Source organism: Homo sapiens, chromosome 2 (assembly GCF_000001405.40).
Source record: "Homo sapiens chromosome 2, GRCh38.p14 Primary Assembly".
In the NCBI taxonomy this organism is placed as follows: Eukaryota; Metazoa; Chordata; class Mammalia; order Primates; family Hominidae; genus Homo; species Homo sapiens.
The window spans coordinates 145,177,367-145,205,167 of record NC_000002.12 but is presented as its reverse complement, the minus strand read 5'-3'; the positions used below and the strand labels follow the sequence as shown (position 1 = coordinate 145,205,167).

General features: G+C 35.6%; 1 long non-coding RNA gene across 1 annotated transcript in view; it reads right to left on the bottom strand.

The window, feature by feature from the left end:
* Positions 1 to 27,801, bottom strand: part of LOC100505498 (uncharacterized) — a 257,710-nt gene that overhangs the window by 58,943 nt on the left and 170,966 nt on the right. The window contains exons 5-6 of the long non-coding RNA XR_923410.3: positions 18,363 to 22,964; positions 16,028 to 16,300 (exon numbers count right to left, since the gene is read on the bottom strand). This is a non-coding gene — a long non-coding RNA (uncharacterized LOC100505498). The remainder of the gene's footprint in view (positions 1 to 16,027; positions 16,301 to 18,362; positions 22,965 to 27,801) is intronic.

Here is a 27,801-nt window from a genome sequence, read left to right as displayed (position 1 = left end):
AAATTACAGAAATATAATTCAATCCCAAATTTTGTGTCTGTTAATTTTTAATGGGGGTTTACAAAAATGAAGAAGAGAGGTCAGGTGCAGTGGCTCACGCCTGTAATCCTGGCACTTTGGGGGGCCAAGGCAGGCAGATCACCTGAGGTCAGAAGTTCGAGACCAGCCGGGCCAACATGGTGAAAACCCGTCTCTACTAAAAATACAAAAATAAGCTGGGCGTGATGGCGGGCACCTGTAATCCAAGCTACCCAGGAGGCTGAGGCAGGAGAATCACTGGAACCTGGGGGGCAGAGACTGCAGTGAGCCGAGATCACACCACTGCATTCCAGCCTGGGCAACAGAGTGATACTCCATCTCAAAAAAAAAAAAAAAAAAAAAAAAAAGGAAGACGAGAACAGTAAATATGAAATGTACTGGATTCTTATTATTCATCTGTCAGACTAAAATGACTCTCTATAATAGGGTGCTGCTATCTATTTATAAGAGGGTGCTGCTATCTTCAGTGTGCGCCACAAACATCAGCACACTTGGAAGGAGGTCAGGAGGCAGAAGAGAAGAGAAAAGAAACCAACAAGCTCAGTTATAACAAAGAAATGTTTCTCTCAGAGGACTTGTACTGATCAAGCTAAATTTGTTTAATAATAGAAAATATAAACACCAATGTAAGAGAACATATGTCAAAAAACATGAGAATGCTATGAAGTATATAGAAATATTCTTGTGTAAGGAATGTTGTACACTTTTTACTTATTAATAATCAAAATACGTAGATGTGTGCATGAATATTGACAAGAAAAATGTAAATATCTTGAAGGAGAATATCACATCAGAGGCAGGTCTATTGTGGAGATATTCATAGTTCCAGCTAAGTTCTTTATATTTTCCTTAAAATCTTAGATCCAGAGCCTGGCGCATGTCCTGGCTTTTGGTAGTGCTGTCACCCCTGTGCACCTAGCATTGCCTGCTGGCTAGTGACAGCGTCTCCTTGATGAGCAGGCTGGGGCCAGTCCCAGGCAGCTCCCCTTTCAGCCTGACAGCTGCATATCCCAGGTGGTCTGACATTTGAGATGGAGGCTGTGGATAAGATTGAAGGTGTTTTAGGGGAGAAGTAGGCTGTGAATAACACCAAGACTTCATCCAGATGGAATCACTCATGAGACAACCTGAGATACTCTATTACTGTCCATATGTCTTCCAGGTCTCCAAAGGCCAGACTCCATTGATTTATTAGAAACCCACTATTTATGCTTTTGGCTCATCTCACAGCAGACTACAGTAAAGGATTTATCAGAGATGCTGCTGTTTCTGTCAGTTATTAGAATTTTATAAGTTCTTTAAATAAAACAGCCTCCATAAATATCCTAGTAAACATCAGACAATAAAGTAAATATTTGGGGGTGAGATTCAGTTTATTTCCTTTTAATATACACCACCTTTTTACAAGTTTCCTTCTGAGTGCAGCCTCATGGCAAAACCCTTTACAGAATGCACCTATTTTAAGTAAATAAATAAATATGTGACTCCAAAGAAATCCAAATGACAAGAGCTAACTATGTGAATGGTTTTGCTTAAACACAATTTTTCCCTTGCAGATAAACTCAGAAGAATTATTTCATTGTTTTACCAGCACAAACAGTTGTTATTAGTGTCTCTTATTTATAGATGGTTCTTTGAAGGACTACAGTAATATAGCAAAATATCAGTTATTCCATCACACTGGTGAATTTAATGAACCTGAAGGTGTGTGTTATTTTAGCACTTGCTGTGGCTCCTGTGAAAACCCAGTGGTGCTAAAATCTGTAAACCTGTCATTGCTTAAGTAATAACCTTGTTAAAAGCATCTTCATTTAACTTACTTTAGCTGCTGCAGGATGCAGGTTTTATTTTATCGGTGTAGAGAGTAGGTGTTTCAAACCCAAACCACTTATGGTAAATATAATTAATTGTAGTTTATTAATTTATTCTCAGTGTTATTGCTTTTATTTTAACACTTAGTTTAAATTAAATATTGTCTGGAATCTAGTACCCATTTTCAATTTTTCACAAACTCTGAATTTATATTGAATTTCTGTGGTTAAGAGAGTAAATTTTAGTCTGCACCAATGAAAATGTTCATTTTCATCTTTACTACTCCTTTACATGAAGCACAATAGCCTCCTCCCCTCACCCCTGCTGTATACAACATGGATGAAAAAACAGAGTACATTTTCCTTAATCTACTTGGAATGGATTTGAGTTTATTCTTGCCTTTTAAAAATATGAAGAAAATTGCACGTTGGTACGTGTTCAGAATTATCAATTGATTTCTACAGGAACACATCTATAATTTTTGAAATGCTGGCAATAAAAATGGAAAGTCCAGCAGGGCATGGTGGTTCATGCCTGTATCTCAGCATTTTGGGAGGCCGAGGCAGGCAGATCACCTGAGGTCGGGAGTTTGAGACCAGCCTGACCAAAATGGAGAAATCCCATCTCTACTAAAAATATAAAAAATTAGCCAGGCATGGTGGTGCATGCCTGTAATCTCAGCTACTGGGGAGGCTGAGGAAGGAGAATCACTTGAAACCGGGAGGCAGAGGTTGTGGTAAGCCGAGATCATGCCGTTGTACTCCAGCCTGAGCAACAAGAGCAAAACTCCGTCTCAAAAAAAATAATAATAATAATAAAAGAAAGAAAGAAAAGAAAAAGACAGTCCTTCCTATTCAGAACTCATTGAAAAGGGAGAGAGGGAGAGAGAAAGGAGAAAGAAAGAGAGAAAATAAGAGAGGAGGAGAGAGAAAAAGAAGAGAGAGAGAGAATGAAAACAGATAAAAACTGTAATTTGTATTTACAGTTACAGCCTTAAAGCAAAACAAACTTTCCTTAATTACCTGCACAGGCCAACAGCAAGGTGTGTGATAAATGCTATATGTTATCAACCACTTTGAAATCCTTGGCCGACTGCAATAATTGTCAGTGAATGCTGATAGGTGTTATATAGCCACACCTACAAAAAACATTATGAAAGGTGTTGGTGTCCAACCACTGTTTCAATGCTGAGTGAAATTAGTTAAACAAATACTAGCCTGAGTGGTAGATTAAGATTTACATCAAATTTATTTTCCCTAAAAGATATCAATAAAAACGCAGAATAGAAATATTATAATAGTTCCATGTGACAATAAATTGAAACTGTTAAAGTCAGTTTGTTTAGGAATCTATTTTTAATAAAACATTTTTATAAAATCATGAAATTTCTTTGTATTTATGTTAATGTCTCAGAAAGCTGACTAGTCAATGTTGTTTATCTCTTTAAAAAATCTCCAATTTAACTTGAATTTTGGGGCTTTAAAATATAATCAAACAGATTGATTATTACAATATTCAAGATATTTTTTGTAAAATAAAAAGTATAAAACTGATACTTATTATTCCTTTCCAGTCCTTTAATTATAATGTTGATTTTAAATTTGGGGGTGGAGGAGGTAAAGAGAAGACATACATCAAGAACTAAAGCAATTTCCTGGGTTATCTTTAAAGTTAAACACAATACTAACTAAACATTGCTCTCTGTTATTTTTGTTTTTATGATAATTTTTAGAGTTATTAACGCTCAGATTGCTTGAAGCATGGATTATTCAAATAATATGGGCTCTTAAAATATGTAGTGACAAAAATATTTTAAAATTGTATACATATAATTTTTGTAATTATCAGTCTTTTTGTAATGTACCTACTTTCAGAAACTTATTTTTTGTAATTCAGTTAATGTTTGTATGCTTTGAACAAATGACATTTTAAATCAGAATATTAAACGACCCTGTTAATTTTTGTTTGGTTTGACAGTATAGTTTCTAAACAATAGCCAGACAAAAGATTATACAATTGTATCACTCAATAAGATACACTTTAAATATATATTAAAGTTAGAATAATTTAATGAAATTCACATTTTATCAAGGATTTTTTTTAATTAAATCTATTGGTTGTTAGTATCTGTGAACTCTTAAGAATAAACACCTGCAGTGTTTTATTATGTAAAAAGGTGGTTTAATTGCATCATATTTATCACAGACAAATCAAGCCCTATTCAGAAGATAATAATGACACAGTAATTGGATCAGTAATTGGTTCAGGATGATTCAATATTGTACTAATAATCATAAATACTGCTGTCTTCTGCTTTGATACAGGGCTGACATGCTAATATAGATTGGATTTGGAGCAATAAATATTAGTGAACTGATCTATTATTAATGTCTAGATCCTTAGTTTGGCTATGCCAGCCAGAAACAGGTACAAAACAGATGTACCACTTGAAAACATATGTATTCTAAATTATAATATGAATTTAGTCAATGTACTTTGTTGGCTTTTCTTAACCAGGGTATCTTTGAAATGAGTATCTTCAATATATAGAAAGGGAGGGGAGTAGAAACAAAGAATGTTCTTTACTTTCCTTATGAAAATGATCATTTTGTGGGAGTAATATAGTTTTTACATTTGACTGAGCCAAGTTGCCATGGCTGATGTGACATGATGACCTGGTGGGCAAAATTATTCACGTGCCAGTCATGTAATGATGGATAAGAAAATCATTCCCATTACCGCACTGTGTTCAGCAGACACTTGGCGGTTAAACAGAACTATTTCTTAGCCAGTGTGGTGGCAGCCTTTCACTGAGAGCCAAAGGAGGGGGAGGCTCATTATAAAGGAAACAATGATCCTTATTCACTTAACATGGAAACTTGCCTTACAAGGGCACATTGGACAGCCCTGGGCTGGAACAAAAATGGCATATTCCCTTTTATCAATGGAACAGAAACCCAGGATCAACATGCCTGGCTTGGAATGCTGCCTGCTGGTGACAGAAATGGATATATTCAGGCATTTGTTTATTTATGATAATTTCTGTGTATGAGGGGAGGGTGCTTACCGTCTACCCCCGCCCAGCACTGGAATTGGCTTGTTTTGTGGATGTAAAGAGGGGCAACTCCCAAATGCCAATAAAGAACCTAATTATGCAGTTATAACTCTAAAGTTGTAAAACCAATTAGAAGTGTATTATTTACCTTGGAATGAGAGAAATTTTTTTCTATCATTCTTAACTAAACATAGGGTAATGGTATGCACAAAATCTCTGCACAAGACTAAAAGAATGCCATGGGGTATGGAATTGATGCTTTCTGGCAATGAACCCCAAACATAAGTGACACATTTCCCAAGAGAAACCAAGAGACTGATGGGATCCATATAGAAGATTTTGGTTATCCTGTTACTCATCTCATGCCTTGGGTTTTTGTTCGTTACAAATTGAGAATTTGAAATGGAGTTTATTCTCCAAAGGTCATTATAAAGAAAATGAATATAAAGCTTACCAAATCTATGATTTATACAAATGCTCAAGGATGAGTATTGAATTCTTTCATATAATTTATCTCTGCACTAATTATTAAAAAACCTTTGAAGGTAGGCAGAGAGTCAAGTGATTACTTTCTCATTGCCAAAGTCAGCCAGGAAGCACCAGTTGATGAACAGTGTGTTGGAAGGAAAAAGAGCCAGGGAATACTGTATCAGTGAGATTTTGAACAACCCAGTGATTCCCATTCAAGGGAATGGGCTTCAACCTATTCTGGTGTTCTCAACATTCCCTCCTTATGCAAGGTATGGATGCCACAATTTTCCCAGCATAAGCTCAGTTGAGCCTCTCTAATGGCATCTATGTTGGCCCTATTTTCTACATAGGCATAGAGGGACGTCTTCATCATTTGCAGGAGTCTGGGGTTACTGCCAAGGGCAATGATCCAACTACACAGGCAAGGGAAACAGATAATCTATTTCGGTTCCTGAATCAGCATTGCATCCAGTAACACCTGAGCAGTGAAAATCCTGTGGCGTCTTCATTCAAGAGCCAGGAAATTCCACGTGTTTGTGGAATCAAGTTCTCTCCTAAGTGGAGTGACTGTTTATTGTTAAGTATCCATGAACGGAAAGCTGCAGTCAAATAGCAGCCAAGCAGTCACACGTTCACTGTGGATCTATGCCCCAGTGGCTCCAGCTCTGAACCAACTGCTCAGGAGTTATATGATAACTAATTCACTGGGTCCTATGTCTCCCTGAAATTCTACGTGTAGTTGTGGTTCACTGGTTTAGTGACGTGAATGAAGGGAATTTAGTGCACTTCAAATCTCTCATTACACCTTAATTAGGACCCCAGCTAGAAATATCAGTGTTTGAACAACTGTAGCAGACAAGGTTTCTTTTCTTTCTTTAATCACATATTGTAAAGCAGATTGAAGTAGTTTATCAATGTTTTCTTCTTTTGTTTTTCTCCCGATTGAGAATCTATAGCCAAATAGATTAACATAAACACTAACGCTGTGGTTTTTCAGTTTTAATCCTTAGCTCAGTCAGCAATTCTCAGTCAGAGAAATAAATGGTAACAGTTATTATAGAAAATATGTTATTAAGAATCAGCAATTTCATAATTGTTTTTTATTGTCTTTTGTTTCTGTGTTTTTATGTTTTTTTAACAGAAATCATGCCACTGAAACAAATTAAACCCTTTTTTATTTGTTAGTAAATTTCCAGATCTTTTTTAATTCCACATTCATTTTGATCTTGAAAACTTGTCCTTGAACCACCAATTACCAGTGATCTTAACTTGGGGCACCTGTGTAAACTCCTCTGCAATAAAGCTTTATTGTAGGAAATTCATTTTAATGAATGTAGCATCTATATCATAAATAATTTTAAAAATTAGCTTGTAGGTGTCAGTATAGTAACAGTCTTTTTAGCAAACTAGGGGAAACACCTCATTTTACTTATTTATTTAAATATTTACCTTCCTAACAAATAAGTTTACAATATATTTCTAATTAAAGCAAAATACAATTAAACTATAACTTTAAAAATCCACCTTTAAATCAAAGAATGAAGACAAACAATACTAAAATTTAATCTCTCCTTTGGGGCAGGAGACAGCTTACAGGTCTAGTCAGCCAGCTAAATGACAGTCAGAAAAGATCATGTGACGCGGATCTAAAAACTAATTAATCTCCATAAAGCTGTAAGTGAGGTAGGTAGGATGACTTGAAATCTGATTACATTATCGCATTTAAGGGAAGAAAATGCAGCATGTATTTTTCATGTTGATTTTAACCACCTGAGCCCATAATGATGTTTTGTACCTTGGAAGAAAACTCATCTTTCATCCATATTTAAGAAGAACTACAAAGATGCTACTATCATTGGTACTTGATTTACACGTTTGGTATAAATACTATGAAAATGAATCATGTTGGATGCCTTTATAAAGTTTTTCAGGAATAAGTAATTCTTTGAAAACTAGATTCACTGTAAAAAGCTAGCCATAAATCCAAAGATTAAAAGAAATTGACAAAGATATTTAAAGGAAATAATAATTTTACCATTCCCACCCCTACCTCCATAAAAAGCAAATGATTAGGTAGTATATTTTGGCTACTGAACATTTATGGGCTGAATTTTTATTAGTTCTAAAGTTAAATTGCTATTCAAAATAATTCCAAAAATTGATTAAAATGTGATATTCTCTATAGCTTCCATTATTCTAGTCATACACAAATTATGTAAACACTGTGAATGTTAGGAGGATTCATTCAGAACTCCAAGAAATTGTCCTGAATATTTCACATCTAATTCTTTTTCTATTGTTTTAATATTTAAGTAAAAAAGACTTCCATAATTGTTCTTGGAACTCTCCTTTATCTGAAAGAGAAGAACAAGGAGTCTAGAATATAAATTTGAAACATTACATTGGAATGCCCTAAAAATAATCCTTATAAGATAGGAATGAGCCCTGAAGGGAGAGAGAGAGTGTGTATGTGTGTATCGTTTGTGTGTGTTTGTGGGTATATTGTGTGTGTGAGTTTATGTGTATGTCAGAGAGACAAGAGAGAGAGATTTGGTGTTCTATTAATAAACATTATTAATCACAGATTATGTAAATCATACTATGCAAAAATATCATTTAAGAAACCATTGAAAGTGCTATATCTGAGTAGAAACTCAAGCCAGAAAAAATACTGCTGGCAGGTAATTCATTGTATATTGAACACATAGGGTAGATGACAGAATATATTCTATAATTTGTTTTATGAAAATGATAATTATTTTCCCATAATAATATTAATGAATGTGTAAGGAGACTAGATCATAAAAATAGAGTACTTCTCACTGAAGATCTGAAAGCACTTTATAGATGAAGCGCTTTTTTTCTGCTGTATTTTACATGAGCAAAGTTTTCATGAATTAAGATATATTCACTATTTTAGGACAAAAGTATTATTTTTCATTTCAGCAAAAAGAATAAAGGCTACTCAATTTTTCCCAATGTGCAAACTGCAGAAGAATCTCAAGCGTAGTGTAATTTGAGACTCAAAAGACAAGACTTTTTGCCCCTTCATTTCTCCATTCTCTACTCCCCTTAAGGTGAATGTGCAGGCATACGGATAGGTGCGCGCCCAGAGATATGCTCCTGTGCAGAGTCAGATGAGGAGAGGCTGGAAGGCTCCAGAGGTTGCTGAACTGGGCAAAGTGAGAGAAAACCCACAGGATATCTTGTCAGGAAGGGGAGCCACTCCATCTTTTCTGACCTCTGCCTTCACACCCATCTAATCTCTTCTGTATCCCTTCCTATTATCCTCTATCTTTCCACTTTACCCTTTAGATACAGAGTATGGAAAACATTTTCCCTGACCTGAATAAGCATTCACGAGAAGCTACTTCCTGAGGTCAGTGAATATTTTTAGACCTTTAAAAGCACTGTTATTGTAACTTTCTGACTATGAATGATGATATTAGTTAAAATATTATCAAAATTATTTAGGACTAAGTTCCTACTACTTACACATCTCAGATCTATATTTCCAATCACTGATGATTTAAAGCATTAAGAGAGAACTAACAGTTTGTGCCAAGAATTTATAAAATGTTCTATGTATGAAATAATTTAGAAAAAAATCTTTTTAAAATTATTCTAAAGAATGTTTAGTGGGATACAAGTGTATACTTGAGGTATAAGATATCATCCCATCAAATGCTAAATTTTAACCAGAATTGTGCTCTATCATATAATGAATCACAAATGCCTGATCATTTCCAACAACTGTGTACAGCAGAAAAATTTTATGAGCCTATACACAGTCAACATAAGCAAATAGACAAAGCTCGTCACTAAAGGTTTTAAAAAAATAGATGAAAAGGAAAAAAGAAAATGGAGCAGTCAAAGGAAAAGCTGATGTAATTCACAACTCTGATACCTTTCTCTAAACTTTTACCTTTACTTGTGATATTACAGAACTACTCAGCCATTTTAGAAATTCTGAGATCCCAAATGTGTCAACAATATAACATACTTTATTAAGCTGCTTTAAAGTACACCCTCAAAAGCTTGCTTTTTTAAAGCAGTAATTTGTATACATGGCATAAATTGTCAACCCTTCTGTGATCTTGAACCAAATTTTGTTTTGGTTGTGAAATTTAGGTTCCTTCTCTGTCTTTTCTTCTTTTACTTCCTTTCTGTCTGACAAGGTATTCCCTAACACATCTAAATTTTGGATGTAAATTGAGACCTAGTGTGACAATTGAGAGACAGATTTATGAACCACCAATACTCCTAATTGGTAGTTTGATTTGAGTGTTTATTTATTTATGTACTTATTTACTTATTTCTTCATTTATTCATTTACTTATGGATAGAACATTAGATAAAAATCCATTTGAAAATACTTTAATGAGAAAGATGGTGAGCAAATTCTCCTTTAATATAAAAGCCACTTCAACTATTAATCATGATTACAGAAAACTCCCATTGTGACAGAATATCATTTAACTTCCAAAAACTAGAGGAAGTAACAGCACACATTTTTTTAAGCTCCACTATGGTAATAATTTTGTGTAACGAAATATGGTACAACCTAATCTTTGAAAGAGCTTAAATTACCAATCAAATATACATAACCTATTTCATTTGTTAGGGTCTTGATTTTATATATTATTTTGGCTTTGTTTTAACAAATACACTTGGCCATAATGAAAATAAACCTGCTGAAGTCTCTGAGGTCTGAAACAAGATATAACACATTTCTGCACCACGGGGTGGGCTCATGGGATACCTACTGAGAAAATGCATGCCCACTGAGCATGCCCAGACTATTAAAATGAATTGACATGTTAATGCTGACAGGAAAAGAGCACAAGAGAGCTTGCTAAATGACTGCTCAGTCAGGCACTAGGAATTCCTGAGTGGCTAAGTCCGGAGCAAAACCCACAGCAAGCACAACAACAACAAGAAAACTTTATTGTCAAATGCTCCCAAACAAACAAACACTAACAGGGTTGTCATGTTAGTAATCCACCTACCCATAAATCATATGGATTTTAATCATACCTGCCACCTTAGCTGCTTACCCCCAGAGAAATTGTTTTCTTTTTGCTCCCTCCTTCATTCACTTTCAATTATCTGGAAGCTGTTTCGCGTGTTTATTTATTTATCTAAAGTTCACATACAGTATGCAAGCACAAATTTTCTCCAGGGGTCTGGGACCAGGCAGATCATACACAAGGATGCAGTGGCGTGAAGCAGCTAACAGCTCAGATAAATGTACTCTGTCTCAAAAACCTGCTTTGGACCACGATAACAAGGAAAGGGGAGGACAGAAAGTAATTTGTGTGTGTACAATGATTGATTATGGTTTAATATGTAGGCATTTCACCTTAAGACCACTCTAGGTAGACTTAAAGAATGATAGAACAGGAAGTCCATCTGGTTTTTGATAAGCAAAGAAGAAAAAACGGCTTTTGCACATAGAAGTCATTAGCTTTATCTTCTACAAAGGTGGAATAAAGTTTATTTGCTTTTAAACACATACATTTGATTAGTCTACTTCCTGCATCTAATAATTGCTCAAATTCTCAAATGTTAGGGTGAACATAAATAAGTGACTTTCAGAATTGGGCAAACAGAGAGGGAGAGAAAGGAAACTGCATGTTTCGTATGAAATTATCCAATCTTGCCATCATCTTGTCTTATTCCCATAAACAACTTGAGAAAGTAATACCAATTTGGCTACTCAGGAAATAAGTAGTGCACTGTTCATGACCTTTACTCAGCTCCAGGAGGTTAAAGAGTAGCATAGATGCATCATGATGTCCATATCCTTTAGACAAAAAAAATCATTTTCATGAGACAAAAGTGGGTCATAAATAGATGTTAGGGGAAATTCAACAGAGAACTTTTGCTTTATTACATCTGTCAGATTAAAGGGTTTTTGATACTCCGTGTGAGTGTATGTGTGTGGGGTGTGTGTGCAAGTTGTGATGCCTTTTACGCATATTCTGATCTATACTTGCCATGCTGTGTATTAGCTCCATCTCTAAATACGATCTGTTTAGAACACCCAGAGAAATGAAAAGGATCACATGGAGTTTGACATTTTGCAAAATGAAAGAATAATGGATTTATTATATTGTATTTTTTTTCCTTTTAATAAAAATGTCTAACTGACCCTTGGGAAGCTTGGCTGGAAGTTTAGAAGTCTGAATCATTTTTCTTCTTCTTTATACTAAAATACTATAAGAATGTAATTTCTTCAGTTTCATTTTTTTTATATTTTGGTAAATTTGAATTATCATTCTCACTCATAAATCATAAACCAAATAATCTACATTTATCCTTAAGTAATTTGTATCTTATATTGACTTAAAATGTTATATTCATATGCCCAGATAATCAAACCCCCCTACTTTATTTGCTTTTACATTTTCCTTCTTATTATTGTGACTATGGACATGCCACAAAATACCAAAAGTATTTGGCCTTTGACCTCAAGTCTGAACCAGATAAATAATCTGTATCATATTGGATATAAAATTTTAGTCTTCCAAACTTAATTAAATATTTCTGAGTGGAATATAAATCATTGAGTCACACTTCATAGACATTTTATTTTATATATCTATCTTTTAGAATTTGTTACCATGATTTTATATTTACTCTTCCTTTAAAAATTATATTCATTAATGTATTCAACAATTACTTATTGAACACCTAATATGTATCAGGTAGACAACATATCACAGTGTTTTAGGTGAGATATCCCTTGGTTGGTACATAGAGCTATATCTATCTCATTTCAAAAATATAACATCAAAGTCTACAATTGGATTATACCTGTACATGGTTTAGATGCATCAAAATATCCAAAAGATGCCCATAACTTTATACCAATACAAAATGGCCAACAGGATTTTGGTTGTCCAAGTCTCTATTGATCTGTCTGCATCTTATGAGTGAGAAGAGAAGGTAGCCTAATGCAGAATATAGAGCAGCACAGAATTGTAAGAATCCCCATAAAGACCGAGAGGGAAGAGTCAGCGAGGTTGAATGAACTTAGGAGAATGTGAAAAGGGAAGAGAATATTTCGAGAAAGAGAATCCAAGGCTGTCAAAATGTCAAACAAATGTCAACTAAAAAGAGGCTTTGGTTGAGTAAAAAGATGTCATTGTTGATGCTGCAGGCCTGGTAGAGTGGGAGCCAGATTGCAGTGACTTTAGAAATAAATAGAAGAAGAAAATGAAAAGGCAACCAGGGCAGAGAATTATTTTAAAGAGTTTTTGCAGTGAGGGGGAGAACAGAGAGATAAGGCTGTAGCTAGAACAGAGATCTGAGGTGGATGGAGACAAGTGTTCAGGGACACCACGCTACAACTACTTACAGCATAGTCTGTGTCTGACTGTCTCTGGAGTTGTGCAGTGCACAGACAGTGGAACTTTATAAGGTGGCACTGCTATTATTTATTCATTTTCAAAATAATGAAACTTTGAAAGAGAACTTTGGTATGTTTTAGTCCTTATGCAAAGTGGCCAAAAAAGGCTAGAGATACGGGGAAAGAAAGAGAGATTCAGAACTAGTGTAACAAGGGATTGGCCACAGGGGCACAATGGGGTATCTCTTTATTTAGTTAAGTGTGAATTCAGGTCAGTTGTGTTACCTGCAATTCTTCCATGGATGTACACATAGCCAGGGTACATAAAACAGCCCTGCCACACCCTCACCAAGTCACTCTTTACCATTATGAATTTTATCTTTTATACTATCAGCATGTGACATTACTCATTTGAAGTAGGAAAAAGAAACTCTACTTTTCACTATTGCACCTCTAGCTCCCAGAATACTACCCATAGGAGTTGCTCAATAAATATTTATGGATTTTTCAGTGATTTTATAATACAATTATTTGTAAAATTGTGCTATGTTCTTGAAGAAGATACTATTGTTTGTCCAAGCAACAGCAAATTCCCCTTTTTCCTCATGTTGTTAGATCTAAATTTTGTTAACGTGTGTCCACTTCTTCCCCAGCAACTCAGAAAAATCATCGCTGGTCTTAGCAGGTTGCGATTGTTTTACCAATCTGCTTGCCAGGGAATAATTATATGGTGGGCATGTGACCCAGGACTGGCCAATGAGATATATGAAAGGATTATCTTAGGGGTCTCTGGGAAATGTTTCCTTACTGATAAAAAGAAACAGTAAATAGAAATAGTTTCTCATTTTCTGCTCTACATCATTTTATCTTTATTGTATATCTGGATCTAGGGCACCCATCTTATAAGCTTGAAAAGAGCCAGTGTAAAGAATAAACTAACTTGCTTAGTAGAGAAAAAAGATTTGGGTTTTTGAAGAAGTTAACCCTGACTTTCATTTACTCATGCATCTGAGTACCAGTCCTACCCCAGGAAGTGTCAGGAGACAGTAGAGATGACTGCCATAACCTCTAATTTCAGAAGCTTACAAACTCTTGACCTTGAAGACAACATGTCCATGTATAGGTGAGAGGACACAAAAAGAGATTAACAAACAAACAGGTATTTCTAATCTAGAGGCTTGCCTGAGGACAGGCCCACGTAGAACTTGATTGAAGATGTTGAAAGAATTCATTTTCATGTGACTCTAAGACTCACGGCAGCGTGTTTATGCAAAATCAGCATCATAGAGAGATTTCCAGCAAGACAGTTCCTATATAATGTAACATTATCTTGGGAGTGATGTTCTATAACCTTGTATATATTCTATTAATTAGAAGCAAATTACAGGCCCTACCCACACTCTAAGGGAAGGGATTATACAGGGGCATGAAAGTGAAGACCTTCAGGGCCATTTTAGCTTCTGTCTACTGCAGTCTACTCTCCAGCCACCAACGATTAATGTCTCTCTCACATGCAAAATAAATTCACCCCCTCCCAAATTTCCTGAGTCTCATCCCATTATAGAACCAGCTCAACATTCAAAATCTCATCATTTAAATCAGGTCTAGGTAAAAATGAGGTTTCTGGCGATAATCTGTTAAGTATAGCTAGCTCCTGAGGCACGATTCCTCTCCATCTGTGATCCTGTGAAACTAAAGACACAAGTTATCTGCCTTCAACAAACTCAATATAAATTCGTGGGACAGACCAAAAATAACATCTATAGACAGTCCAGTTCAAAAAGGGGGGAAATGAAAGATAAAAGGAAGTCACTGCTCCATGGCAGCCGTGATATCCAGCCAGGCAAAGGTTTGATTTCTGGAAGAGGTTTCAAGACATAAGGATAATTCCATGCGGCTCTAGGCTCCGCCTTCTTAGTTCTTGGTTCTGCTTTCTGAGTCACCCTTCCTTTTTCATAAAAGGTAGCAGCTGAGTAGTTTTATCAGTATTTCCTGCCAGTAGAATTTTGGGAGTTTGACAGCCTCCTTTCACATGTACTCTGTCCTTTTTAGTCCAAGCTGGTAGCACCTTCATTGAAACAATTATCTTAAGTACTTTGTGGGTCTCCTGTGGATTTTAAAGGGGTTCATTCCATTAGACAAAAGCCAGGCCCACAGATCTTTTTGAGTAAATCCCTTCTCTTCTTTGGCATCCTGCTAAAATGACTAAAGCACACCACCATTTACTCAGTGGAACCTTTACGGTTTGACTGGGAGAATCTGTGAGGCACAGCCTTAATCTCTTGAAAGAGCCCTTTGCGTTACTGAATACCCTAACCTTTTAATCTTTCCGAGGCTTTAGTAAAAGACTGTAGAGTCACATCCTCTGCTTTCTCTCCAGAGCAAGCTTTCTTGACAGCAAATCCCTTAATTTTAATTTTTTTTTTTTTTTTTGCCATCTGGAGAGACTGAGAATTTTCAAAATCATCAAGTCCTGGTTCCTTTTTTTAGTAGTTCTGTCCTCAATTTATCTCTCTTCTCTCACATTTTACTATAATCAGCAAGAATAAACAAGGCAGCACCTTCAACACTTAGCTTGGAAATCAGCTATATGACCACATGCATCACTAACAAGTTCTGCTTTCCGTGTAACCGTAGGAGACAATTTTGCTAATTTTTCTGCCACTCTATGACAAAGATCCTTCTTCCTCCAATTTTCAATAACATGCTCATCACTTCATTTTTCAGCTCTCATTGACAGTGTCCTTAATATCCAGGTTTCTGCTAACAATCTTATCAAGACTAGGCATTTTCTTTTTACTTTATTTTTTTATTTTTATTTATTATTTATTTTATTATTATTATCATTTTTTTTTTTTTTGAGACAGAGTCTTGCTCTGTCTCCCAGGCTGGAGTGCAGTGGTGCAATCTCGGCTCACTGCAACCTCCGCCTCCAGGGTTCAAGCAATTCTCCTGCTGCAGCCTCCCGAGTAGCTGGGACTAGAGGCGCACACTGCCACTCCCGGCTAATTTTTTGTATTTTAGTAGAAACGGGGTTTCACTGGGTTGGTCAGGCTGGTCTCAAATTCCTGAGCTCAGGCAATCCGCCCACCTCCGCCTCCTAAAGTGCTGGGATTACAGTCGTGAGCCACTGCGCCCAGCCCTATCTAGGCATTTTCTATCGTGTTTCTCAAAATTTCCCCTGCCTGCACCCACAGCCTGGTTCCAAAACCACTCTGAGAGTTTAGGTATTAGTTTTCCATACTAGTAACAAATTATCACAACCTTAGTGTCCTAAAACAATGCATATGTCTTACCTCACAATTTCTGCAGGTCAGGAGTCCTGGCACAGCTTGGCAGAGTCCTCTGCTAAGGACTGCAGTCAAGGTGTTGGCTGTGACTGAGATTCTCATCTGGAGGCTTGACAGAGGAAGAATCAGCTTCCAAGTTCACTCAGATTGCTGGCAGAATTCATTTTCTTGTAGCTACAAGGCTGAGGGAGCCGGCTTCTTGCTGGCCATTTCCTGGAGGCCTCCCTCAGCTCCTTACCATCTGGGCCTCCTAACATGGCCACTTCACTTTTTCAAAGTCTATAAGAGAGACAGAAAATCTCTAGAACAAGACAGGTTATTTTATCATGTGACATAATCATGAAGTGATAAAGTGACTCCTATCACTTTTGTCATATTCTATAGATTAGAATCAAGTCAAATTTCCCACCCAAGGGGAGGGTATGATACAAAGGGATAATATAGAAAGGTGAGTGTTAGGAGCTGAAAAATGCCCGCTTCCCCACAACCCACAAATTTATATGTCAAAGCCCACTGTACCCCAGAATGTAACTGTATTTAGAGATAAGGTACTATCATCTGAATGTTTGCATACCCACAACATTCATATATTGAAACCTACTCACCAAGGTGATGATATTAGGGGGTGGGACCTTTGGGAGATGATTAGGTCATGAGGGCTCTGCTGTTGTGAATGAGATTGCTGTCCTGATAAAAGAGACCCCAGAGAGATGCCTCACCCTTTCACCTTGTGAGGACACTTGAGAAGGCATCATCTTTGAAGCAGAGTGAGCCATCACCAGACACTGACTCTGCTGGTGCCTTCATTTTGGACTTCCCAGTGTCTAGAATTATGAGCAATAAGTTTCTGATGTTTATAAATTACCCAGTCTAAGGTATTTTGTTGTATTAGCTTAATTAAACTCAGACATAAAGTCTTTAAACAGATAATTAAGTTAAAATGGGGTCACTAGGGCAGGCCCTAATGCAATGATGGGTGTTCTTACAAGAAGAAATTAAGAGACAGACAAGTGCAGAAGGAAGACCATGTGAAGACACAGAGAGAAGATGGCCATCAACAAGCCAAGGAGAGAGGCCTCAGAAGCCAACTCTGCTGACACCTTGATCTCAAACTTCTAACCTCCAGACTCATGAGAAAATAAATGTCTGTTGTTTCAGCCACCCAGTCTGTGGTACTTTGTAGGGTCATTGGGGTCACTTTTGAGTCTACTCACCACAACTGGGAATATTATTGGTGGTTTTAAGACAGTGTCCTAAGAAACTCTTGGAGTTTTTACAAGGTATTCAGAGGGCCCTCAGAAGGAGTGGGTGAGAGGAGCTAACAAATGAGACCCTAGGGTTTCCAACTCCACCTCAGTGAATGAGTTCCATTTTAATCTGTTGTATTTATTGGAATTTCTACCTAGTAAGAACTTTCCAAATTCAAAGAATCCCTATAGTCTTTTCTGATGTGTTCCATCTCAGGAATATATTGCTCTTAGAAATTTTATTGATTGTTAAAATAGCACTGAACTTGTATTTAGAGCTGACTTCTGATATCCAACCTTAGAGATTCCAGGTTTTGAACTTTGAACAAACTCCTAAACACTCTGGATTTTTGTTTCTTCAATCATAAAATTATGAGTTTGAACAAAATTATTCTAAATTTCTTTCCATCTCTTACTAAATTATAGCACTTTTCATATTTTACTTTGAATTACTTTGCTTCTACTCTTACAGCGGAAGGATAATTCTATATTATAAAAAGCTTGTTTTGCTTGATTAATAATAAGGATTTCTGAGAATTAAAAACAAAACATAGTAAAAGTACTGCATATATTTGTACTGAAAAAGAACTTGACACTATTTCTCCAGCATTAGCAAGATGTATGAGATTTGTGTTTTGGGCATTGATTACGGTTTTTATTCTGAATTATGTATCTTTGGGAAAGAAAATTAAATTAGTCATAATAGATTGGCTATTTTCATAAGTTCTATCAGTGTAGAAGTATCATAGCCAATTTTAAGAGAAAATATCTTCTATCTTAAACCTCAATAGTTTTTATCTTTGTATTTTCAGAGAATAATTTAATATTTCTGTGATGTTTCTTTGGTGTCTATAAAAGCAAGCTACAAATTAGAAAGTGAAAATAAACTTCTTTTGTTTAAATTCCAAAGACGTCATCTGTAATTTTATTGCTTTTAGCCATTTCACTCACTTGTATGGGACTTTGAATCAATGAATAATTCTTTTCCCTCACACCTGTTGTCTGAACTTTCTGCCATAGTTAAAAACTTATCATTTTGTTTTACACTGTCAAAACTCATCCAAGAAATAAAGTACACCTTTACCTTCACTCACCATAACACAGTATTTATTTCCTTTAGGCAGTAGTGGTTCAGAGTTTGAGGTTTGCATGAGGTAAAAAACTTCCAAACGTTCCTTTAATTATCTGTTGATATCTATTTTGGTTCTTTCATTTTCAGTTCCTACAATGAAGGTCCCAGAACAGAACTTACATGAATACTTAGAAGGCCAAGTTTCTAAACCTTTACCAGACTAGCAAGAGATGTTCCATTCAAATAAGTTCTCTGATGTATGGGTGACAGGCAAGAGCTAAACTGACAGTGTTTGCTGAATTCTGCAAGCCCATAGGGGGCAGGATTCCACCTGCTTGGGATCTTCTACTGGCGTAAACTCAGGGACCAGGCTTTATAAAATGAAACGGGCTGCGAGGGAACAGCCAAAGTGAAGGCAGATTGTGTGCTCAATGACCGTATGGTTTTCATTATCTTGTTCTCAAGGAAGAATTCATCCAAAGAACAACCAAATGAAAGCAATGTGTAAACCATGTCAACCCATCCTTGGATGGATGTGCCACATTTGCTCCATTATTGGTGGTGATTGTATAAAGGTGGGGAAAAGGGAGAGGAAGTGGGAAAAATGAAGGTAGTGCAAAAAGAAGGTGCAGAAGGAGCAAGAAAAAAGAAATGTCAGCCACTCAGCTGTCTCATTATGTAGCTTCCCACACTCACCAAAGATGTAATTCATCCTGCAGGTGCAAACATTGTTGGCTTTCTCATGGACTCTTGACGGATGGACCGGATGCATGTTTCCTTACCCCAGATGCTCTTTAGCAACACCAGCAATGAGATAGGGGATTGTGTGCACCTGAATCAGCACATTCACTGAGTCTTATTTGTCTTGTTTCTTAAATAACCAGTAGTGTTGTGCACAGAGCGACAACAACCAGGCAGAGGAAGCTTTTTTAAATATTAAAAAAATGGCCAATCTAAACACTTTTGTGAGTCACTTCTTAATAATTGCCTCTAAGATAAGTATGTCATTACTGCTCTGATACTCATCACCCACAGACTCACTAGTGGATGATTATCAGATCATGTGACAGCATTGGACCCTGTAATAAAATTCATGCTCATGTTTTCCACAAGATTTTCAAAAATTGAAGATGAATTTTCTACTATAAACTGAGAGAAAATTAGATTTTCAAGTTATCTGAACAGATAACATATTAGAAATGGGAAGGTTCCTGCTCTCTGAATCAGCTTCTCCTCCCCTCCCCTCCCGGCTCATTAGCTCCCACCAACTTTGAGGATTCCAAGATCCCAAACAAAACTGATTCTTTTCTGGTTGAAGTTCCATTGACTCTTGGCAAAATGTAACTTCCTGGTTCAAAGAAAAAAAGCTTGTAAAAAAAAAAGCTCACAAGGCTTCTTAGACATCAAATGGGTCTTATGAAACCACATTTTGATGAGCTAAGTGTAAATGAATCAGAAACACATGGATTAAATTTCCCTTGAAATACACATGGGTTTGAAAATTAAGGAAAAACTGTTTAGCCAAATGTGTTTTGGGTTTCCTTGAACTGAAAACATTTGAAAAAAAAAAAAAAAGAAGTCAAGGCATTTGCTAAACCCGAATACACTGTTGTGTTTGCTCAACCCTCCTTCAAACCAACTAAATTTCCACGAGGCTTCCTCCATTCCCCTGTGGTTTGTTTTGTCACCTCTGTCTTGACACTTTACAGACCAAACTCAAGTTCCATTAAAAAAAAATAGACCGTTGGTCATCTACTTAAATATGAGGGAGCTATTAAAACACCCAGCGAATCAGAGACATTAAGGGATAGAAATCACCCATTAGGTCATGATTTCTGTCCTGAGGGTTGGAACACATGCACTCACAGCTCTCTAGTGCTTTACCCAGTGTAGTTTTAAATGTCTCAAGTGACAGAACTTCCACCAGCTCCCTTGGGAGAATATTGTGCATTCTAATAGATTTTGCCATTAGGAACTGTGCCTAAGTCTATAACAGAGGCACAGTGGGATGTCTAGGGTAGGGGGGAGGAATGATGGATAATTAACTCTTTCACTACTGCCTCATAATCACCTGTAGCATGTTCAGCAACTTTAGCATCTTAGTACTAAAGAATGTGCTATGTGTGTGTGAGTTTCCATTAAAAGAAAATTTGGTTAACGGTGTAAAATTGTGCCAATTTCAATGCAAAATAAGGCTTCACAAAGAACAGAACCATCACAAAAATACTGCGGTAAGTCATAAATATATTATCTTACCTGATAGATTTTACTATTTCTTAAAATACAGGACTTTGAAAGTCTTACGATTTTCACTGATCAGGAAATGTCTAATTAGCACTAACCTGAATCTCAACGCTCATAGTACTTGTATATGTATTCTATTACATATCATCTCCCTAAACCACCTTCCTCCTGCTGCCAATATATTTTCTTTAAACCACTTTGCAGCAAATGGATTTATCTCCCATTTCTGCTCTCCTCAGGAAAGTAACACATTTGTGAAGAAATATTTGTTTGTCTTTCTAGATAGAAAACAAAACCTAGCTTTCCATATGACTAACATGTTTTTAGAGGTCCTATGGCAGAGTTTACATTTAATTTGCTCCAGTTCTCATTCTACTTACAAATGAATTATAAAGCACATAATGACTTACATGGCCTGTCATACTGCTACTATGTTGACCTTTTCAAGATTCTGCATTGTGAACAGCTGAGAGGCACACCTCTTCCTTGCCAGTTACTGCAACCTGTAAAACTTAACCAATGGAGTGGCAGCAAGAATCAGGTAAGGGGAAATGGGAAGCAACATGACCCTCTTGAGCTCTTTTTAATCTCTCTTGGCTATGGAGTGGCTTTTTATGTTTCACCCAACCTTGTCATTCCTTTTAAAACGGCCATTTTTTCCTCCCCTACCCTGTTCCTTACATTATCTTGCCCCTCTCTGTGCTCGTTTCTGTGGCAGTCATACAAAACGAGGTCCCTGTTGGGGTATGGAGTTCAGACATTGGTATCCAACTAGCTCTCTCTTTCTCTGGTTTTTGTTTTTGTTTTGTTTTGTTTTGTTTTTGTTTGTGTGTTTGTTTTTTATCAATTTTAAGATTTGGGAAGGGAAAGTAGGAATTGAGTTGAATAAGCATTTTTGATTGTTGCTATACTTATCTACTTGCTTAAAGATACTTTAAATAATATTTAAATCTGAGGAGTTGCCTTTCAATTACTATATCCTTTACCTAATGATACTTATTATTAGCAAGTAGAACTGGGTCATTTTCCTCCCTCAATTACACCAAAATGTGAAGTTGCTTTCCCCAGACTGTATATATCACTATTAGAGCTTTGGCTTACCATGGTTTTGTCCAGCAACAGATCTAGCATTGTGTGTTTTTTTTTGTTTGTTTGATCTCATAAGTCAATCCTTGTGACCCTTTTAATGCCTCTGAATTTCTTCTAATGGTTCCTTTTCCTCCCTTGCTTAAACAAATTGCTAATATTTAACAATTTCTAAATTTTGTTTTCAAAAGTGGAAATTGCACTTTTTAATATTTGTGCTGGTTTGAATTCACATCAAGTTTTGCAAAGCACAGACTAAAACACACATACGCTATTGCCAGTTGGGAGCAACCAGGACCAAAAAAGCGGGGAACTACTGTTTATTTTTCTTCCTTGAAAATCACGTGATATTGATGTGATTCCAAGCAAATAGTATGAACAATATTCTGAATCTAGCTACTGAGTTCTGTATTCTATTCTGGATTTGTTAAGTTTCTGAGTAAAGGAGTATTTATTTTATCATCTAGAAAAATGCTTTAAATTAGGTTTCATGCTCAAAAAGACAGAAATAATTGGCTCAGTTCTTTACAAAGAGTTAAATTTTGAGATTATGGTAAGCATATGATGCATACTGCCATATTATGCCACTAGCTTGTTTTTTTTTGTTATTGGCAAAAGTGAAATTAGATTCAGTAATGCATACAGTGTGATGCCTTCGGCTTACACAAACTTAGTAAAGTCTAAAAATCTATCAGAAGGAGCTGTTGGCAAGGCCGTGCTCATCTAAGTGTGCATATTTACTTTTCTACTTCTTATATAATGGATCCTTTAAATAAAAGTCACTATGTAGTTCATCTTATTAAGGACATCAAATAAGTCATTGTCTGAACGGGAAATCAAATTCAAGATTTGTTTCTTTAAAGTGATTTTATTCTGTCTTACAAATACATGTTATTTCAAAAGGAGATATTAATAAATCCTTGAAAGCCAACATTTTCTATGCTGTGATCATTCCATAGACATTGAGGAAAAAAAGAGAAAATATTTATAAAGCATTTAGTGATGAGTAATTCACAAGGAAATAATTATAAATACAAGTCAAACAAATTGGCAATTGTTTGCATTTCAAATTAGAAATCACATGGAATGCAGCATTGCTCTGATTTGCTTTATGAGCATTTTAGGGAAAGCACTTCCTACCTACATTGGGGAGACTCACATGGAGGTCTAGCTGATAGAGCATTAGTGTGAGAGTCTGGATTTCATAAAGTCTCTCCTGGCTCTATCAGACCTTGCTGTGTGGCCTGGTGGAATTTACTCTGGATTTTCTGTTTCAGTTTCCTCATCAGTGCAGCTGGGAATAAAAAGAAAGAAAAAAATGTTAAAGATATTAATGGTCAAGCTCACTAAACATTTATTAGGACCAAGCCATGTTTTTCTCTAAATGTACTCATGTCTGCTCACCTTCTCAATTCTATATAGTTTTGAGACAATCATGAGGACCTTGCATGTCTAAGAGAAGAGAAAATGCAGTTGAAGAGATGACAGGACTGACCCAGGGCCACTGTATCAGAACAACTGGATAATGCCTCATTTATAGCAGTGCTCAACAAATATTACTTAATGTGATCCTATGATGTTCAACCCAGATTTGCCACAGACGGACTTTCCTTGCTTATTAACTCCTTAATTGACACTGTCAGCAACATCTGCTTGTTTTCCCCTATATGTAGCATCAGATAGCAAAAAGGTAGAGCTCTTAGGTCTCTTCTAAATAGGCATGCTTAAAAACCACAAAATATTCAGACTTAATGCTTAATTGCATTCTCAGCTAATGGAATGAAGAAGAGTAAGTGGCTAGGGAAGGAGACAGGTTAGACTATGTGGAGAGAGTCATGCCAGCCCCAAATTTGGTATTTGCCCACACACAGGCAAACCAGCATTAAAATATGTTACATGAAAATGCATGCATGATTAATGTAATTTGTGATCATTCTTTTTTCTTTTGTCTAGGTAGTCTTGCTCTGTCACCCAGGCTGGAGTACAGTGGTGTGATCATAGCTCACTGCAGCCTCAGCCTCCAGGCTAAAGTGATTCTCCCACCTCACCCCATCGAGTACATAGAACCACAGGGCCACACTAACATGCCCGGATAATTTCTTTTTTTCTTTTTCTTTTTTTTTTTTTTTTTTAAGAGATGGGGTCATCCTATGTTGCCCAGGCTGGTCTCAAACTCCTGGGTTCAAGAAATCCTCTTGTCTCACCTCAGCCTCCCAAAGTGCTGGGATTACAGGCGTGTGCTACCACACCCAGACTGTGCTCTTTCTTTCCTTAGATTGACCCATGCATGTTTCAGTTAATCTATGCACAGACAGTAAGAAAAAATAGTGACTTTTATGTAGGGGGGATTATATTATCAGATTTGCTTGGGGATGCCAAACTTACATTCTTTGTCCCCATTCCTGTTAGCCATGTCCTAGTTTTTTTTTTCATTCTTTCTTTTCTTTTTTTTCTTTTTTTTTTTGAGACAGAGTCAGTTCATAGATGACTGTGCCAAAGACAAAAATTTAACAAATATAACTAAAGAAGACAGGTTTGCATATCATTATAAAAGCAATGATTTCCATTTAGTTCAAATTAATATTTTTCATTAATTTTGCTCAGGTTTCAGACCAAATTTTCTTATGTACATACAAAAGTGGAAATGATATCTGCTGATGTATTGGCTCTATTAACAGAAGAACTTTGTAAATGGTGAAATGATGGTAGTTTTGTATTCTTTTGATTAGATCCTTCAGAGAAACAAAAAAAGACTTAGCTTAGGCATTGCATCCTCTAAAAAGCCATCTTTGACTGCCTTTGGGACAAGCATTTTTAGAATGCCTTAAATATAGTACATGGGTAATAAATTCAACAAGCACTACAGTAGGAAAATATTATGTATGTATATATATGAAGAAAGATCCTTCAAAAGGACAAGTTAATTCCCATAATCAGTATTTTCATCCAATTTATAAAATCAAAGGGAAGTTTAGAGTAGTTCGCTTTGCTAAAATGAATCAAAATTAAAAATTAAAATTAAAAGTTAAAATTAAAAATAAAATTGTTCTGTAATTATAACATAAATATAAATATTGGTAAAGGAAATTATCATTTAAAAAATACTCTTACTAAATTAAGAAACATTTGGAACAGAAATACACTTGAATTGGCTAGGTTGCATACATAATTTATAATTTTGTTTCCAAACTATGAAAATCTCCAATTGAAATAGAAGTATCTGTAGTCAGAATTTATAATTTTTAAAAATTTCTACACCTCAGGACTAACTAAAATACAGAATTTTTTGGATGAAGCAGATGAGTAACGATAATTTTATATAAAAAATAGCAATAAATTTTTTTCATTGTCCATCAACAAATCGATTTTAAAAATGTTTGAGCCTTTGAAAAGCTGCTTTATAAGAAAACCTAAATATTCTAAAATAGTATTAAAACTTTTATAATTTTATATTACTCTTAGTAATCATTTGGAAGTCCTCCCTAAAGTATTTTTTTAAATGAGGCCCCAGAAATTGTCATTTTGAATGATCAGTTTTGTAATATAGGATAATGAAAAACAAGCCTCGCAAACAAAAAAGAATTAAAATTTATACTTGTAATGACAAAGGGAAAACTGAGAAATTTAAACAATGAATGCTCAAATAGTGTTCAATATTTACCTTTTAAATTCTAAAATTGTCCTGTAAAAGATCTTGAAAATTTAATCATGACAACTTTGTTTTCCTGAAAAGTGGCATCTTATAAAAATAGTTATGCATTGGCAAAAGTGAATGCAAATGAAGCAAAAAGTCAGTACCTGTGAAAATATTTAGGTGGAATCACATTCATATTTTTACTATTTTTTGCTTAATTTTATATTTTTAATGTGGCTACTAAAAAATTTAAAATTAGATATGTGGCATTACAGTGTTATAAACTGATGCTGGCATAGAACCAGTTTAGTGGTTATGTGTTACTTGATTTTTAAAATTGACACTACTTTAATACTACATCCTGCCTGCCAACCCCACAATTCACTACTCACTCTTTGTCCTGCTTTTATGTGCATATTTTTATACTTAAGAAAATTAGAAGTCAGAATATCCACTCTTTAGCAGAATTTGCTACTAAATTCTACTTACCAAGCACTTCATTACCTGTTAACTGATAATTTCCTCATTTAAAATATTATGGCCCATAAAGAAGAGTCAGTTAAAGGTATTAATATGTTCAAGTTAACTAACCATGAAAAGAAACTTGGAAGAACTTTGCAGGCAATTTTATGAAAAACTTAAAAAAATGAAAGCCTTTATGAAGATGTTAGCACGACTTTGTAAATCTATTTAAAAACATTAATTTGTATACTAAAATGGGTAAATTTTAGGGCACATAAATTATACCCTAATAAAGTTGTTTCAAAAAGATTAAAAATAAAAACACAGAGAAACAGAGTTTTTTTGTTTTAGGGACCAAAACCAGTAACACAATATTAGACACAGACACAAACAAACAAACAAAAAAATAATTAGCCAGGCATGGTAGCTCACACCTTTAATCCCAGCACTTTGGGAGGCTGAGACAGGGAGATCACTTGAGGCCAGGAGTTGGAGACTAGTCTGGGCAACATAATAAGACCTTGTCTGTACAAAAATAATAAAACAACTTAGCCAGGCGTGGTGGTGCATGCTTATAGTCCCAGCTGCTTAGAGGCTGAAGAGCGAGGATTGCTTGAGCCCAAGAGTTTGAGGCTGCAATGAGCCATGATTGTGTGATTGCACTCCAGCCTGAGTGACAGAGAGAGACTAAAATAAAAGTTTAAAAAAGAAAATGGACTAAGGTTCATGAAAATATACCAGAAATGATTGTTCTATTTTTATTTCTTCATAATATTCAATAAATAAAATATTTTGTTTTAATGGTTATGAATATATATTATATTTAAAAAGTTTTCCTTTTGAAAATATTTTTTGAATAAGCTAATATTAGTTTATACATAGACCTTTTGTGATCAATAAATAAACATTTCAAAATATCATATAAACTTTAATGCTTTTAGCACCCCCTTTTTCTATTAAAAGTGTTCTGCTTTGGATGATACATTACAGACAGTCCCATATGTATGATGGTTTGATGCATAATTTTTCGACTTTATGATTTCTATGACTTTACACATTCATTTCTACTGAACATGCATCACTTTTGTGATACACATACTTTAAGTACCATATAATCATTCAATTTTTCACCTTCAGCTCAGTATTTTTAAAATTACATGAGATATTCAACACTTTATTATAAAATAGGCTTTGTGTTAGATAATTTTGTTTAACTGCAAGCTAATGTAAGTGTTCTGAGCAGGTTTAAGGTAGACTAGGTTAAGCTGTGATACATTAGGTGGTACATTAGGTGTTATTAAGTGCATTTTGACTTACCATATTTTCAACTCACAATGGGTCTATTGGTGCATAACCCCATCGTAAGTCAAGGAGCATCTGTACATGCTCCCACTATTTGAGTGACACCTGCTGAGCACTGTTCTCAGATTTTAACAAATGGTAACTCTTTCATCCCTCATTTCAACTTTATGAGGCAGGTTATGATGGGAAAATTGGGGCCTGTAGAAGTGAAGCAATTTTCCCAAGTTGCACAGATAGCAAATGATGACCCCAGGATCTACATCCAGGCCGTTTGGCTCCAAAGCTGTAACCACCAAGCAAATGTCCTCTTGAGTTCTTTGCTTTAGGGGATATGTCTGTGGTCTATATTTCTATGCTGGGTATTTTTGTTTTCAGATCACCAGACCCTCTTCTTTCTTCTGGTGCGTAGGTTTAAACCCAGGGATTTGTTTTCAAATCATTTCTGCATTACTGTTTTGGTTTATTATGTTGCAGAAAGCCTCATAATCACAGCCACATTATTCTCCTGTCTCCTACCCCACCTTCATGTAAACATTTGAAGAAAGCTAAAAGCTGGTGAAATAAAGTGAATGTATCTATGAATAGCAACCTGAACTGTTACAGTTGCTACTGAGAACTTTGTTATACACATGTAATAATACAGTACGTGCAGCGCTGACTGACATAAACACTTCTACTTTAAAATGACATCTCTTTTCCTAACTTCATTATCCAAAATCTATCATAACGATGT